Below are 16,475 nucleotides of genomic sequence, written 5' to 3'. Positions count from 1 at the left end.
TTGTCCTGTACAAGCAAGGGGAGGGGTATTTAAAATGATCTGCTCTAGGTGTCAGCCAGTATGGAGCATGCAGAAGCAGGAAGAAGAGGAAGGTACATAAATGGAAGCACTTGGGTGAGAGTTGGAGGCATCCAGGGAAGGAGAATATGAATAAAGTATGGTACAAAATGATCCCAGAATGGCATTTGCTGCAAGCTCTGCCCTCTGCCCTCTGGCTTCTGATTGGGTTCATACAGGACCACTGGCTTGAGATTAGGAAAAGAGAAGAGTGAGGTTAGGACATTTATCCCTTCCCCTCCCTGCAGGCTTGCTCTAGTTTGCCAACATACTTTGACTTAGACCAGAGGTCACAGCTGTCATCAGGGGCCCTCCCCACACAGCTAGTTCTCAACATTCTCTCTCTCTCTTCTCTCTTCCACCCTCCCTCCCTCCCTCCTGGAATACAGTTATTGCTTGCCCATCTGTCTTGCCAGTTCAGACCCAGGGATGGAAAGACACTGCCCTCACCTTACTAGCCTAAGAATATTGCACTACCCTTTGTACTTTTCCTATACCCAGCCCACACCTTTATAAATTTAGTTTTATTTTAACTCTGAAAATTACCCAATTTTCATGTATCAACTATTTCCTGCTGACATTCTGACTAATATATATATATATATATATCTCCTGACTCCTCATAACCCCACTCTCCATCACTCTTCATTATCCTAGACATCAAGTGGAAAATTTTCTCCTCCTTAAATATGTATATTCTAATTCCATAGGCTCTGAGGATCATGGAAATGGAGCAGTTGATATTAGTTATTTAATTGCAATTTCACTGATCAGGGAAGAGTGGGGGAAATATCACAGGATGTGCACTTAGCTGAGGAATCTGCTGCAGCACAGCCTTCTAAAAAACACCCTCCCTTCTCAAATGCTTGACAGTCAACTCATAAAAGTAAAATCTGACAAACTGCCTCACTTAGCATAAGCACTCCCCCAACAAAAATCACTTCAGTATTTTTTTCTGCTTCTCCAAAAGGTGGGGATTAAGAATTCTAGGATTAACCAAAACCTTTCATCATTTTAAAGGGGTTAATATTAAGGCTAATGGAAAGAATTAATTCCAGGCAGCAGTGACTTCAATCTGTCAGAATCCTTTGCATTTCATTTTTTCCTTTTCCAAGTTAACTACAACTATAAAGATGACTAAAAGACTCTACTAAAAGTTTTTCTTAGAATATTTTTGTTAATATTTTTCAAAAAAAATATTTCATGGGATAAAAAAGTACATTCACTGAAATTCAAAGGATCTTGATTCTTTAGCCTGGTAATCTTTAAATGACTTAAATACCCTCAGAGCGTGAGAACTTGATTTCAAAATGCCAAGCAAACACAAGAAAGAAAACTTAGAATTACACCTAGCAGACAATAAAACCACATAATTTCTGCAAAATAATTCAACAATCTGATCTGACCTCAATGTGATGACTCAGAAGTGAATTTGGTGGTGAGAAGGGCTGCAGAAGATACATTTACCATGGCTAATCGGTATTCATGAAAATGAGAGCTACAGTTGAACAACAACAAAAGCATCAGCAATATTAATAGCTAACACTTACATTATGTTTACTGTTAATATGTGTGCAAAGCACTGCTTTAAATGTTTTTCATGCATTGATTCATTTAATCCTCAGAGCAACCCTGAGAGGTAGATCACTATAACTATTCCCATCTTACAGATGAAGAAACTGAGACTGGGAAGGTTTAAGTTATTTGCCCAAGGTCACACAGCTAGTAAGTAACAGAGCTGAGATACAAGCACAAGCTTGGCTCTGAGCACATACATCTAACTACCATGATATACTGTCTCTACCAGAACTTCAGAACGCAGTCCTTTTAATGGTGTGCAATTTAAAAAATACAATCAGTCTAATCACAGCACATGAATTCAATTTAATCTCCATTTCTCTTTCAGGAACAACAGTTAAAAATGGGAACAGAGGTATCCCAAGAGAACTCTTACTGCTATAGTATTTGTGAGGTCATGACAGTATTATCAACATCTCGGGACCTATTAATAGTTTTGTCAAGAAGAAAAGAAAATGAATAGCCTAGTTCAGTAATTCCCCTCATTTGGAAAGGAATCAAGAACCCCTTTGTGATTCTGTTGACAGCTATGGTCCCTCTCCCAAGAAAATGTCTACTTTGCATTCAATTTCAATAAATTTCCAGAAGCCTTGATGTGCATCCACAGGTTCTATGTGAGAAAACCCTCTTCTTGGATGATTTCTAAGTCTACAGTGTTGTATACTTCACAGGAATAAAAAATCAACCAACCAGCCGAGCGCAGTGGCTCACACCTATAATCCCAGCACTTTGGGAGGCCAAGGTGGGCAGATCACTTGAGGTCAGGAGTTCTAGACCAGCCTGGCCAACATGGTGAAAACCCATCTCTACTAAAAACACAAAAAAATTAGCCAGGTGTGGTGGCATGTGCCTGTAGTCCCAGCTACTCAGGAGGCTGAGGCAAGAGAATCGCTGGAGCCCATGAAGCAGAGGTTGCAGTGAGCCGAGATCACGCCACTGTATTCCAGCCTAGGCAACGGAGCAAAGCTCTGTCTCAAAGAAAAAAAAAAAAAATCAACCAACCAACCAACATTTATTGAGCAACTGCTATGTGCAAAACACTGCAGTGGATCTTGTGTGGATAATACAAGAAAAGATATTATATAATCCCTGCCTTCAAACAGCTGTATAGTCAAGTTTGCAAAATAAGACAAGAGTAGGGACATTAGTTCTCCAGGCACTCAAAAGAAATATCATTTCTAGCTTGGGTTGTCAGGCAAGGCTTCAAAAGAGGTCATGAACTATGAATTGGTCTAGATAAATTATTAGGATTGGAAAGAAAGTAGGAAAAGGCATTTGATATCAGGAAATAATAAAATTCTTCATTTTAACACTTACCTGAATTTGTGGGCTGAAAAATTTAATTTTAGGAAAAATGCTGTATGTTAACTATAACTAAGAACTTTATTTTCTGACCAGATAGTGTGCCTCACGCCACATCAGTACAATTTGTTCACCTTAGCCCAGCTATCTGCTGAAAAGATATCACACAACTGGAAGCCCCTGGCCTTCCTTCTCAGAAGCCAACTAAAATGTGCATTGCACTGTTTACCATGATAAGAATACCTGTCAGTAGAAATTGATTTGAGGTTCTTAACTTACCTCTCCATGGCCGGAGGAGCCAACAGAGAGAAATTTATTTTTATTCCAAGGTGGCTTTGTATCTCATTAGCAATCCCATAAGCCTCCGCCCTTTTTATTCAACTGTCAACAGTCCTTGATGTTCTGAATAAAGAGCTGTCCAAACTAGGATTAAACAGAAGAGGAGGGAAAAAAATCACTGTTCTCATTCTGAGATTCCATGTGGAGGTGCTAAGCTAGTTCAACTCCCTAGAGAGCGACCTTTTTATTTTCTTTGCAATCCTGGTCACAATTCAGGATTTAGGCATTTGCATCATGAGGCTTGATTCCTGCTACAATTCTTTCCACCAAAAATACAACACAGTAGCACAGAGTATATTTGAAATTCCAATAAAATCAATGTTGACTTGATTGGGAAATTCTGAAAATTAGAATTAAAGTCTAAGGAGAGACAGATTAAGTTATTAATTAGCTAGGGTTGCCAGAAAACAGCAATATATAAAAAGAGAATATAAGGAAGACGACTTCCTGTAAAGCTGTCATCATGCATTCAACTAGAAATGGATCCTGCAGTCCCACATGTAGAAATGAGATGAAAGTTTGGAGTAGCTGCCTCCTTTCAAGAGATTCACAATTTTGAAGTGTTACAGCATATTCCCAGAGGGCTGGGTGAGATTGTGTGTGTGGTGGGGTAAAGTAGAGAAAAAAGTGTCACAGAAAATTAGTAGTTCAAAAAAAGAAATAAAAAAACATAATTTGAAATGAACTTGCTTCGGCACTCTGTAGCTGGGGGTGGCAGGTAATAAGACTCAACATACCCATATGATAGTTGTACCACTTAGAATCTTTGGGGCTACAAGTAACCAGAAAACCCTGACTCATTTCAATTTTTAATTTTTTTTCTATTTATGGAATATCTCACATAATGAAATAACAGAAGTAGGGCAGGACCTAGCCAAGGAAGAGCTATCAGGATTCCTTCTCTGCTCCCCTGAGATTCTCCTGGCTCTGCCCCTATACCCTAGATTAGCTTCATTCTCACGAGGAAGGTAAGAGGCCTGTGACAGTTCTAGGCATCATGTCCTTACATGACAATGTCCAGAGGAAAACAGAACCATTTTTTTCTATGCCTTTTTCTCAAGATTGAGGTAAACTTTCCTGGAAGCCCCCAGCAGACTTCCCCTCATCTCTTCTGGTAGATTTAGATCGTATGCCCATTCCTAAACTAGTCTCAAGTGGAAAGAATAGGATTATCATGACTGATTCTTATATTGTGGTCCCCAGGCCACCAGCAGCATTTGAGAAAAATGCAAACTATTAGGATCCACTCCAGACTTACTGGATCAGAATCTCTAGAGTTGAAGCACAGCAGCAGAGCAATCTGTGTTTTAATAAGAATTCCAGGAGATTCAGATGCACTTAAGTTTGTGAACCATTGGTTTGGAGCAGAGTGGAATGGATGTTGGATTCTCAACCACAATGAGGACACTGGTCAAGGAGTCAGCAATTAGGAAGACCACAACTATTAAAATAACCTGAGTCACTTTTGACTAGCATTATGACATTTATGAATGCTTACTGTCTTTTTTTTTTTTTTTTGCTAAAAGTGGACTAAATATCTTGAAATACTCCTGCCGCCAAGCACCTGGAAATGCTGCATAAAATATAACCAACAATTTTTTAAATGTATAAACTCTCAGGAATGAAAAGTGAAACCCTCAAAGTCCCAACAAAAAGAGAAATCTGGAAAACAAGGACTCAAACTTTTGTAACTCTAAATGTCACTGCCAATCTAAGTAACAAAGGGTCTTGTGTGTAAATGACACATGGAGTGGCCACAAGGTAGGGTGATAAAACTGAGATTCTTATGATGAACCAGGACCCTAGAGGTCTATATCCTCTGAAAACAGGTGGACTGGAAAAAAAAAAAATCCACCCACAGAAGTAAGCAACAAGGAACCTCCTCTATCTCAGGCTGAGCTCTGGGTGAAGGGAAAAAAATTTCCCCTGAGAATTTATAACCACAGACCTGCCCTCATGTGGGTTTGAGATACAGATTTACACTACTACAAGGGCAGGTAAACCCCAAGCAGATAAATTAACATGAAAATGGATTCCCAGATGTCATTGCTGAGGTCCTGGTGGAAGAAAAGAAGAAGCCTCTTGGTAAGAACACATCCTCAAATAAGGTCACACAGGATTCTCACAGATAACGAAAGCTTGCAACCTTAACTCACAAAACACCTGGGGAAACACAGCACCATAACCAAGGCTCAGCAGAAAACAGCAAAATATGAACTTCACATAATAGAATTATCAGGAAGAGCTATAAAACAAGCTGGTTTTAAACTATTATTATAAGTCTAAAAGGGAATTAAAAACGAGAGAAAGGAATAGATACTATTTTTAAAAAAGAACCAAGCAGATTTAAAAGAGATGCAAAAGGGAAATATCCAGCTTCTATCATCCTCAACAAGAAATGTATGACCTCAACAAGAAATCAGCCTGGGCTGGAAGAGAAGTTGTCAGAGAACCTGAGGAAGCTTGAGGTTATTCTCAACACTTTGTAAAGTGTTCTATAATTTGGGTATCTAGGTGGGGAGTCCCCAGAAGGCCCTGCTTGAGGTGGTATCCAATGTGTACTCCTACAAAGACATGAAAAGATTTATCCCCATTCTTTCCTGTAATGTGACAAGACACTGGATGACAGCTAAATTACTGCTGATCATATTTTTGAGAGTATGGGGAGAGCATTTGAGAAAAAGCTTTGTGAAACCTCTTGATCTGCAGAACCTCTTTATCATGTTTTAACCTCTCAGCTTAATAGTTATATTTTATGATACTTCACAACAAAGTCCAATCTTTCAGAATTACCATATTAAACTCATACCTCTGTATATTTGAATGAGTCTTCTTAATCAAACTTATTGTAGTTTTTGCTCTGACTCCCTAAATAAGAAGTGTTTCATTTAAAATTTATTTCTAGTAACTTGTAGAAATATAAGGGCAGGCCAGGCACAGTGGCTCACGCCTGTAATCCTAGCACTTTGGGAGGCCAAGGCGGGTGAATTGCCTAAGCTCAGGAGTTCAAGATCAGCCTGGGCAACACAGTGAAACCCTGTCTCTACTAAAATACAAAAGAAATTAGCCAGGTATGGTGGCATGCCTGGTCCCAGCTACTTGGGAGGCTGAGGCAGGCAGGAGCATTGCTTGAACCCAGGAGGCGGAGGTTGCAGGGAGCCGAGATCACATCACTGCACTCCAGCCTGGGCGACAGAGAAAGACTCCATCAAAAAAAAAAAAAAAAAAAAAAAAAAACAGGAAGAAAGAGAGAGAGAGAGGGAGAGAGGGGGAGGGGGAGAGAGAGAGAGAGAGAGAGAGAAAAGAAAAGAAAGAAAAGGGCAAACATATAGTGTGTAAAGAGTACCATCAATTTGCTCCAAATCAAAATTCAATTATATTATTGGAGAAATGCCACTATAAAGGCCTACAGTTTGACAATTATCATGTGTTTACATATTCACAGAGACTGTCCCCTCTCCTTCTGCTGGCTAGACCCAGGAGAAGCCTGGAACCATGGGAGAGGCCTCAGTACATGGTGTGGATGGCTGGAAAGGACAGGAATGTATCAAACCACATCCATCACATTTAATGTTTCTGTCTTAATCCATTCCTGGCTAAGGGAAATGCCACTCCTGTAGATTCCTCTCTGCATTTCCAGCATGTATGAATCACTTGGCAAAACCTGATGTTAAAAGAAATGCAAAGAGTGGTAAAGCCAAGAAGCCCTTGTCTGACCCTGCCTCAAGGTAAATAAACACCTGGTTTAAACAGAGGCTTAGAGGAAGCAGATCCTTCCAGCCAAGGAGAAGGCCCCACACACACAATTTCCTTCCATCACAAATCAGAGGCAGAGCCTCACTGCATTTGGGGCCACTATTTGCTGCTTGGAAGAAAGCATGGGAGCACTCCCAGCCCTTGCACAATACCAATTATGTTTCTCATTTAAGAAACAGTTATTTGTCTGAATGCAAACTACATAAAGGGCAGAGGGAGTTCTCTTCTCTTACAGAGTGATAGTTTATTTATCTGAAACACAGGAGGTTCCCCTGATTGTAATCTTTGAGTTGATGTGTCCACAGAGGGAGTAAATATTTGAAGGAAAAAGCAACATTGCCAGACTAGTACAGCACTATCAGAGATTTATTTTGTGGATAGTATGAAAAGTAAAAAGAGACAGGTGATGACAGGTTTTCAGAGCAAAAGCCAAAGCCTTCAAAGAGGAGACCTCAGTGTTGCATTTTCCCCAAAGGAAAAGTTGCTGGAGCTTCTTAGCAAGGAGGTGAGCTCTTATTTACATACTCATCATCCTGGGCTAGTTTTGGCCTTCCTTATATTGTACCTACCCTTGCCTTAAAATATCCAGCCACAGAATGTGGCAAATAGTGCTTTCTTTCCAGTGAGTTAACCAAGAATTATTTCCAGTGAGTTAATTCTGCATTACTGAGTGCCTATAGTGTGCTTAGAAGTGTGTGTTAAATCCAATTGGGGAATAAAGATATTCAAGTCATATGCTCGCTCCTCATGGAATTTACGGTTTAAGAAGACAATAAAAAGTTTAGCCAGGAACAGTGGCAAGCACCTGTAGTCCCAGCTACTCAGGAGGCTGAGGTGGGAAAATCACTTGAACCTGGGAGGCAGAGACTGCAGTGAGCTGAGATCACGCTACTGCACTCCAGCCTGGGTGACAAAGTAAGACCCCATCTCAAAAAAAAAAAAAAAAAAGACAATAAAAAGTGTTTTGATAACTTCTGTACCATTATGTGGGTTTACCTACTCAACCTGCTTTGAGGGGCCCAATGGCTGTTCCAATGAATAGCTAGAGCTCACTTCTTGGCACCATGGCCTTGCCCACCACCCTTGGCTATCCTGGCATAAAAGGCAGCATGCTTGGAAGTCTAAGGTAGTGGTTCTCAAAGTGTGGTCCTTGGACCAGTAGCAACAGCACCATTGTGGAACTTTTTAAACATGCAAATTCTCAGGCCTTCTCCAGAGCTACTGAATTGGAAGCTCTGGGACTGAGTCCCAGAAATTTGTGTTTCAATAAGCACTGGTCTAAGGAAACTACTTTTTTGTTCTCCTACCTGCCAAATTGTCTTTCACTGGCCCTAGTTTCCACTTTCCACCTATTCAACATTAGAGAAGTGTTTTTGTTTGTCTGTTTGTTTGTTAATAAGTTAGAACACTTTAGGCTGCAAGTCACAGCAGACACTTATCAAACTAGCTTAAAAAGTGAGAACATTTATTGACTCATGTAACTGGAAAACCAGCATAAGGGTGAGTTCTATGGTTGACCTAATCTACCAGCCCTGGCTTGATTTCCCCCAAATTCCATTAATTCTGCCCTCTTCTGAGGGTTAACTTCACCCTCAGGCTCCCAGTGAGATGGCAAGGGCAGCTCAGTCTCACATCTGCATACAAAAGCCTCCAGAGAAAGAGAGAGAGAGAGCTTACTTCTGGAAACTCTCACAAAAGAGTAAGGGAAAACTTTCCCAGAACTCCCCAACACACCTTTCCTTTCCTGTTTTATCACTAGCCCAAACAGCAGCACATACACATTCCTGAACTGATCACTGGCAGGAAGGATGGGATTGATCAATCAGGTCCATACCTGCATCTAGGGGTGGAGTCCACCTGCAGAGGCACCTGCTCCATGTAGAAATGGGGTAGATGGCAAAAGAAAGTCAGGGTTCAGTTAGGAAGGAGAAAGGAGGAATGACTGATAGGTAGACAACCCCAAAGTTAATGAGTTTCTTAATGAGTTTCCAAGGACATGCTTTTAGGAAAGGAAGTCATCTGCTCTTGACATGGCAGTGAAAGCTAAACACCATGAGGCTGGCAAGCCATGACCACAAACCCCTCAGCATTGAATTGCAATCAGTCTGGAGTGAAATTTATCATATTTCACAAGCAAACTCAAGTAAGTGAAAAGGAAAAACTATTTCCTTTTTCTTTCTCCTCCCATCATTCTCCCTCTTCTCCCACCCTGAAACAATTTAATTTTAAATTAAATAGTAGCAGTCTTTTGATCATTTCTTCACTGATATATATATATACACATTATAGCTCATTAATGACATATTTCTCTCACAAATAATGTATCCTAGAACTATTTCCATAGATTACCAGACATTAAGTATAGCAGCAATTCTAAGCCAGGCACAGTGTTAAGCAAAGAATATCTAATGATAAATAACAGTGGGTCCTCATCTCTAGGACTCATGGAGTAGTAGGGACAGACACATGAACAAATGGACATAATGCAATATGCAGTGGGCAATAATAGAAGTATGCCCACACTATATATATGTTACAAATGCCAAAGTAATGAACTCCATCTGAGGTATAAGGGATGGAGGTGGTAACCCAGGAAAGTTTTGAGGGATAAATAGGGGGAAAAATAAGTGTAAGTTTTTAGATAATCCTTAGACATCAACATAGAAAACAAGGCATAAACAACATAAGATTACTTCTGGATAACAAAGCAGGTAACTGTCCCAGAGCAGGATGTTCTTTCTAGCTTAAAAAGTGAGAACATTTATTGACTCATGTAACTGGAAAACTAGCATAAGGGCGAGTTCTATGGTTGACCTAATCTACCAGCCCTGGCTTGATTTCCCCCAAATTCCATTAATTCTGCCCTCTTCTGAGGGTTAACTTCACCCTCAGTATCCCAGTGAGACGGCAATGTGAAAATGGGGCACTGTGCCTCACTTTCTTGTGGGGGCTCAAGGGCTGTATCTACCTGTTATGAGATGTGTTGAAAGTAACTTGCTACTAATGATAAAGTACTAGAATATATTATACAAATAATTCAGAGCAGGTTCTCTAAGTTATTAATAACTTAGAGCAGGTTCAAGGTTATCACTATAATCTTGTTATTATCCTCTGCATTCTCATGTGCTTTCAGAGGTGAAAGAGAAAGAAGATGGAGTTATATTTAGCCTGCTTGGAACTGAACATATTCCTGGGTTTCCCATTATTGTATACATGGGATGAGCAGGGTCTAAAGGCCCAGTGGGAAAAGGCTAGGAGGGCAGCTTTGGGATAACGCCATATTACTACTTAATTCCTGAAGTTAACTCCTAAATTGTGGTAACCAAGGCCCCTGAGAAGGAAACCAAGGTGGCCCTGAAATGTTTCAGGATCCACTCAGTGATGCTATTTAGCAGACACAATTATTTACACGCACAATTTGTTTTGCCCCATAATTTTGCAGAGATATTTTCCTCCTTTTCCTTTAGTTTCTAAGAATGGCAAATATATAGCGCTTAATATAAAACTAAACTCATAGCTACAGGTCAGGAACTACTTCTCCATCTTAATGATATAACCAAAAATCACGGTAAAACTACATGTTTTTGCTGACTAGGAAAGGAACCAAAGGTCACCCCAGTAAAAACAGACACATGCAACAAACAAATGCAGCACAGCCAAGTTCAGAAGTAACTGTATGAGTGTCTATACATGTGTGTGTACATTTAGGCATAGAGAAGAGAAAGGGAAAGAGAACTACGAACTGATGTGAATATAAATTTCTCTCAGAGTAGGTAACCTTGATTGTTCTTTGGTCTATTTGTCACGTGCATCGGCATCCCCACATTTTTTATTTTATTCTTTTTGAGACTCTGACACTGATGTTCCATCTCACCTTGTAGAAGTACAAGACCACAGGTCGTACTCTACTCCACCCTATGGCTCCAGTTTTGGACCTTTATCTCCCTAAAGTTATAACCATACTTGCCAGGCTCCTTTGGAATCTTAAATCTTTGGAAGCATAAAGCATTTGAGTCAAGCAATCAGAGAACATATCTCTTGTGAGTGACACTCAACACATCATGGATGTTCAATCAATTTTTTTGATGATGGTAGCAGAAAATGTCCCTTGGAAGAAGAGCATCAGAAAAACTCCTCCTGAAAGAGAACTACCAAATAGCTTTCAATTTAATATTCTACTCAGATCTCACTTTAATGAATGTATAATGCCAGTTGTCAATTTCATACTCAAAAAGGCAGAATTCATGCACTATATTATGTGTAATCATTTAACATGACTCTGTAGGTGAGAGCATTTGATGATTATTATTGATTTTAAATATGTCATAATTAAAGTCAGGGGAACCAAGTTGAAGGTCAAAATTTGCTGTGTGATTTCTTTTCATTTCTTTCCATTTAATTTCTACCCCTAATTCTATTATTTACTTATATTCAAATTTGCCAGTTGGAATTAAAACAAATAACTTCAAATACATGACAAACCTGAAGTGTTTACAAATGTATGTATCTCTTTAGAAAAAGAGTACTTTCTTCTCTATTATTATTGGTCGTGTCCAAAAATAATAATAGCCAAGAAGATAACTAGAACCTGTATTTGCCCTTAAATCTCTCCCCATTATAATTTTTCTTCTTAATTTTTTTAAATTTTAACTTTTCATTTTGAGTTACAAAAGAGTTGCAAAATAGACAAGAAAGTCCAGTAAACTCTTCACCTAGCTTCCCTGAATGCAACATCTTATACAACCACAGTACTTGTCAAAACCAGAAAATAAACACAGATGAAATATTATGAACTCATCTACAAATCTTATTCAGAGTTTGCCATTTGTCCCACTAATATGCTTTTTCTGGTCCAGGATCTATTCAGGGTCATTCCCTGCATTTATTTGTCACGCTTCCTTAGTCTGCCCCAATCCAAGACAGTTCTTCAGTCTTTGTCTTTTATGACCATGACAGTTTTGAAGTGTACCAGCCTGTTATTTTATAGAGTGTTCCTCTATTTGGGTTTGTTTGATCTTTGCTCATGATTAAAATCAGGTTATACATTTTTGGCAAGACTGTCATTTAATGATATTAAATACCCTTTTCAGTTTATCAAGGCAAACATGTCAGTATGTCTTAATATTGATAATGTTAACTTTGGTCACTTGGTTATGGGGTGTCTGCCAGGCTTATCCAACATAAAGTTACTGTATTTCTCTTTGAAATTACTAGGCATTTTGTAGAGCTATATTTTGAGATTATGCAAATACTTTCATCCAATTGTTTTAGCAACCAGTGATGATTCTTGCTATAACTATTATTATTATAGTATTTAATAAATGGTTGGCAGTTTTGAGGGTAATATACAGAAGAAAAAAATTAAAAATTAAAAAATAATAAATGGTGATTTTTCTATTTCCATAATTTCTTCAACATTTGTTAGAGTTCTACTGTAAGAAGAAATCTCCATTCTCCCAGTTTATTTATTAATTTTAACCCTACAAACTCATGGATATTTATTTCAGTCTATGAATTATAATTCATTACTATCATAACTTATTTTGTGGCTCAAATTTGTTTTCAATTTGGCCAGTGGTTGCTCTTTTAACTGGGCTCCTATATCTACTTGACACATCCCAAACATTTCTTGAGCACAGCTGTAGTTTCTGGTGTAATAAGATGCTCTAGGGTCATCTTATACTTTCTCAGCCTCAGTCCTGGAATCAGCCATTTCTTTGAGGAGCTAAAGTTCCCTTTATTTGGAAAAGGTATTTAGAAACCAAGATCTTAGCTAGGAGTGCTCATGGCTACTGGGCTTTCACTGTTTCTAGGACTCTCAGTGGACAGAACTGGAAAATATATGTATGTATACTAAAGCCATGCATACACAAGCATTTGTATCTATTTCTTTATATTTGTGTGTATATATTAGAAACCATGAGTTCATATTCACACCTCCAATTCTAATCCATCACAGAGGTCATTCCAGCCTTCCTTCTTCCCTTATTTGTACTTTCTTCCTCTGACAATGTACTTAGTTTTCATTATATTATTTACTGCAATATATTTACTTAATTGCTCTAAAGGACACATAATTTCAAAATTGCTAACCCTGTGAAAAACAAGCTATTAACTAAAGAACATTGTGTGCAATTCTTTCACCTTGTAATATATAATCAAAAACTGTTTTCCAAAGTTACTTAATTATTTCCTTCACTATCCCATTCACTGTTGTTATATTATTCATGTGTGATAGTTAGGTTCATTTATTACTAGTTGTTTTCCACTTTGGGTTTCCCCAAATCCTGGATGATTTTTTTTTAAGTAAGTGAAATATTAACATGGTTCTAAAAGTCAGAAGTATATAAAAAGATATATTAAGATAAGACTCACTCCCACTTCATCTCTTCTCCATTTCCATTCCCCTCCACTTTTTCCCTCCCATATTAGTCCATTCTCACACTGCTATAAAGAAATATCTGAGACTGGGTAATATATAAAGAAAAGAGCTTTAATTGATTCATAGTTCTACAGGCTGTACAAGAAACATAGTGGCTTCTGCTTCTGGGGAGCATCAGTAAACTTACAATCATGGCAGAAGATGCAAAGGGGTAGCAGTCACATCTTACATGGCCAGAACAGAAGCAAGGCAGTGGGGTTAGAGGTTCCACACACTTTCATCAAACAACCAGATCTCAAGAGAGCTCACTATCACCACAACAGCACCGAGGGAGATGGTGTTAACCATGAGAAACCGCCCAACCAGAGTCCAGGTGGACCACAGAGCTGCTCTCTCAATTGCCCAATGGTCAGGGAAGAGCTGATTCCAAAGAATATGCTTTGAAGGAAAGCAAACCTCTTAATATACTGGATTTTCACATATTTGTTTAGAAACATGTAGGAACAGAGATAACTAGAGCCAAAAAGGATATGAACTTCCAGCTACTGCTGTTGAAGACACTGCAAGATTTCCCAGTTGGTAATAAAAGCCTGGGAGGGGAAAAAGCTGAAGACTCAAGACCAAGACATCAGAGAAAAACATCTAAATAAGACAAGCGCAGAGACACTCCAGCCAAGGAATTTTGCAACTTCCAAATCAGGAGGCACTAGAGATTGAACATGAGAATGCTGTTGCATGTTATCTGCTATTTGCTTTAAGCTGACATTGAACAATCTGAGGTTCTTTGCACTTAATCTCTCAACTGCTTTTAACAAAGTTCCTATTAAAGCACCTGGTCTTGTGTCATTGAGGAGTGACATCTGGGTCTCAGGGAACAACTGTAGGTCCTGTACCCGTATTACAGAGAAGCAGCCTGCACTGGTACCTAAATAAGATATTTTCCTGCTGGGTGAGGCACATGCTACATTAGTAGCAAATGCAACGTTTAAAAAACAGAGACAACTAGATTCTTGGGGGATCATGGCGGACAGGAGGCAGGACTAGATTGCAGCTCTGACTTGGATGGACAGAGCAGCATATGGAGGCTTGCGTCGTGAATTTTTGCTCCAGAACAACTTCAGGAATAAATCAGGAAACCTGAGAGGACCCACATACCCCCTGAAGGCAACACATTGCTCCTGCAGGACCCAGGAGACACTTCAAATACTGTGCTGGTTTCCACAGCTGAGAGACCCACAGATGGTTCACATCACAGGACTCTGTGCAGACAACCCCCAGTACCAGCCCAGAACCTGGTAGACTTGCTGGCTGGCTAGATCCAGAAGAGAGATAACACTCACTACAACTCAGCCCTCAGGAAGCCACATCCATAGGAAAAGGGGGAGAGTACTACATCAAGGGAACACACTGTGGGACAAAAGAATCTAAACAACAGCCTTCAGCCCTAGACCTTCCCTCTGACAGAGCCTACCCAAATGAGAATGAACCAGAAAACCAACTCTAGTAATATGACTAAACAAAGTTCTTTAACACCTCCAAAAAATCACACTAGCTCACCAGCAATGGACCCAAATCAAAAAGAAATCCCTGATTTACCTGAAAAAGAATTCAGGAGGTTAGTTATTAAGCTAATCAGGGAGGTGCCAGAGAAAGGTGAAGCCCAATGTAAGGAAATCCAAAAAATGCTGCAAGAAGTGAAGGGAGAAATATTCAAGAAAATAGATACCATAAATAAGAAACAACAAAAACTTCAGGAAACAATGGACACACTTCTAGAAATGCAAAATGCTCTGGAAAGTCTCAGCAACATAAATGAACAAGAGGAAGAAAGAAATTCAGAGCTCGAAGACAACGTATTCAAACTAACCCAATCCAACAGAGACAAAGAAAAAAGAATAAGAAAATATGAATAAAGCCTCCAAGAAGTCTGGGATTATGTTAAATGACCAAACCTAAGAATAATTGATGTTCCTGAGAAAGAAGAGAAATCTAAAAGTTTGGAAAACATATCTGGGGGAATAATCAAGGAAAACTTCCCTGGCCTTGCTAGAGACCCACACATCCAAATACAAGAAGCACCAAGAACACACGGGAAATTCATCGCCAAAATATTATTGCCTAGGTACATTGTCTTCAGGTTATCTAAAGTTAAGACAAAGGAAAGAATCTTAAGAGCTGTGAGACAAAAGCACCAGGTAACCTATAACGGAAAACCTATCGGATTAACAGCAGATTTATCAGCAGAAACCCTACAAGCTAGAAGGGATGGGGACCCTATCTTCAGCCTCCTCAGACAAAACAATTATCAGCCAAAAATTTTATATCCAATGAAACTAAGCTTCATATATGAAGGAAAGATACAGTCATTTTCAGACAAACAAATGCTGAGAGAATTCACCAATACCAACCACCACTACAAGAACTGCCAAAAGGAGCTCCAAATCTTGAAACAAATCCTGGAAACACAGCAAAAAAGAACTTCTTTAAAGCATAAATCTCACAGGACCTATAAAACAAAAATACAACTAAAAAAAAAACAAGGTATACAAGCAACAAATAGCAGGATGAATAGAATGGTACCTCACATCTCAATACTAACATTGAATGTAAATGGCCTAAATGCTCCACTTAAAAGATACAGACTTGCAGATTGGATAAGAATTCACCAACCAACAATCTGCTGCCTTCAAGAGACTCACCTAACACATAAGGACTCGCACAAACTTAAGGTAAAGGGGTGGAAAAAGACATTTCAGGCAAATGGACACCAAAAGCAAGTAGGAGTAGCTATTCTTGTATCAGACAAAACAAACTTTAAAGCAACAGCAGTTAAAAAAGACAAAGAGGGACATTATATGATGATAAAAGGCCTTGATATCACAATTCTAAACACATACACACCTAACACTGGAGCTCCCAAATTTATAAAACAATTACTAACAGACCTAAGAAATGAGATAGACAGCAACACAGTAATAGTGGGGGACCTCAGTACTCCACTGACAGCACTAGACAGTCATCAAGACAGAAAATCAACAAAGAAACAATTGATTTAAACTAT

The 16,475-nt window shown here is 39.0% G+C and overlaps 1 protein-coding gene across 8 annotated transcripts in view, besides 1 other annotated feature; it reads right to left on the bottom strand.

Moving 5' to 3' along the window:
- Positions 1–16,475, bottom strand: part of AKAP6 (A-kinase anchoring protein 6) — a 508,387-nt gene that overhangs the window by 432,327 nt on the left and 59,585 nt on the right. For 2 of the 8 annotated variants that reach the window (XM_024449754.2, XM_047431967.1), the window contains exon 2: positions 3,217–3,360. The exons of the other annotated variants lie outside the window; for them this stretch is intronic. The gene's annotated coding sequence lies outside the window, so the exon portion shown is untranslated. The remainder of the gene's footprint in view (positions 1–3,216; positions 3,361–16,475) is intronic. 8 annotated transcript variants of the gene reach the window in all.
- Positions 6,801–7,095: a silencer, noted in NCBI's record as "tiled region #7175; HepG2 Repressive non-DNase unmatched - State 10:DNaseD". NCBI's record gives its function as "represses a minimal TATA promoter and a strong SV40 promoter by Sharpr-MPRA in HepG2 cells {active_cell/tissue: HepG2}" and the evidence as "EXISTENCE:reporter gene assay evidence [ECO:0000049][PMID:27701403]".

This window comes from Homo sapiens, chromosome 14 (genome assembly GCF_000001405.40).
Source record: "Homo sapiens chromosome 14, GRCh38.p14 Primary Assembly".
NCBI lineage: Eukaryota > Metazoa > Chordata > Mammalia > Primates > Hominidae > Homo > Homo sapiens.
Note: the sequence above shows the minus strand (reverse complement) of the source record. Positions and strands in the feature narration are given on the sequence as shown.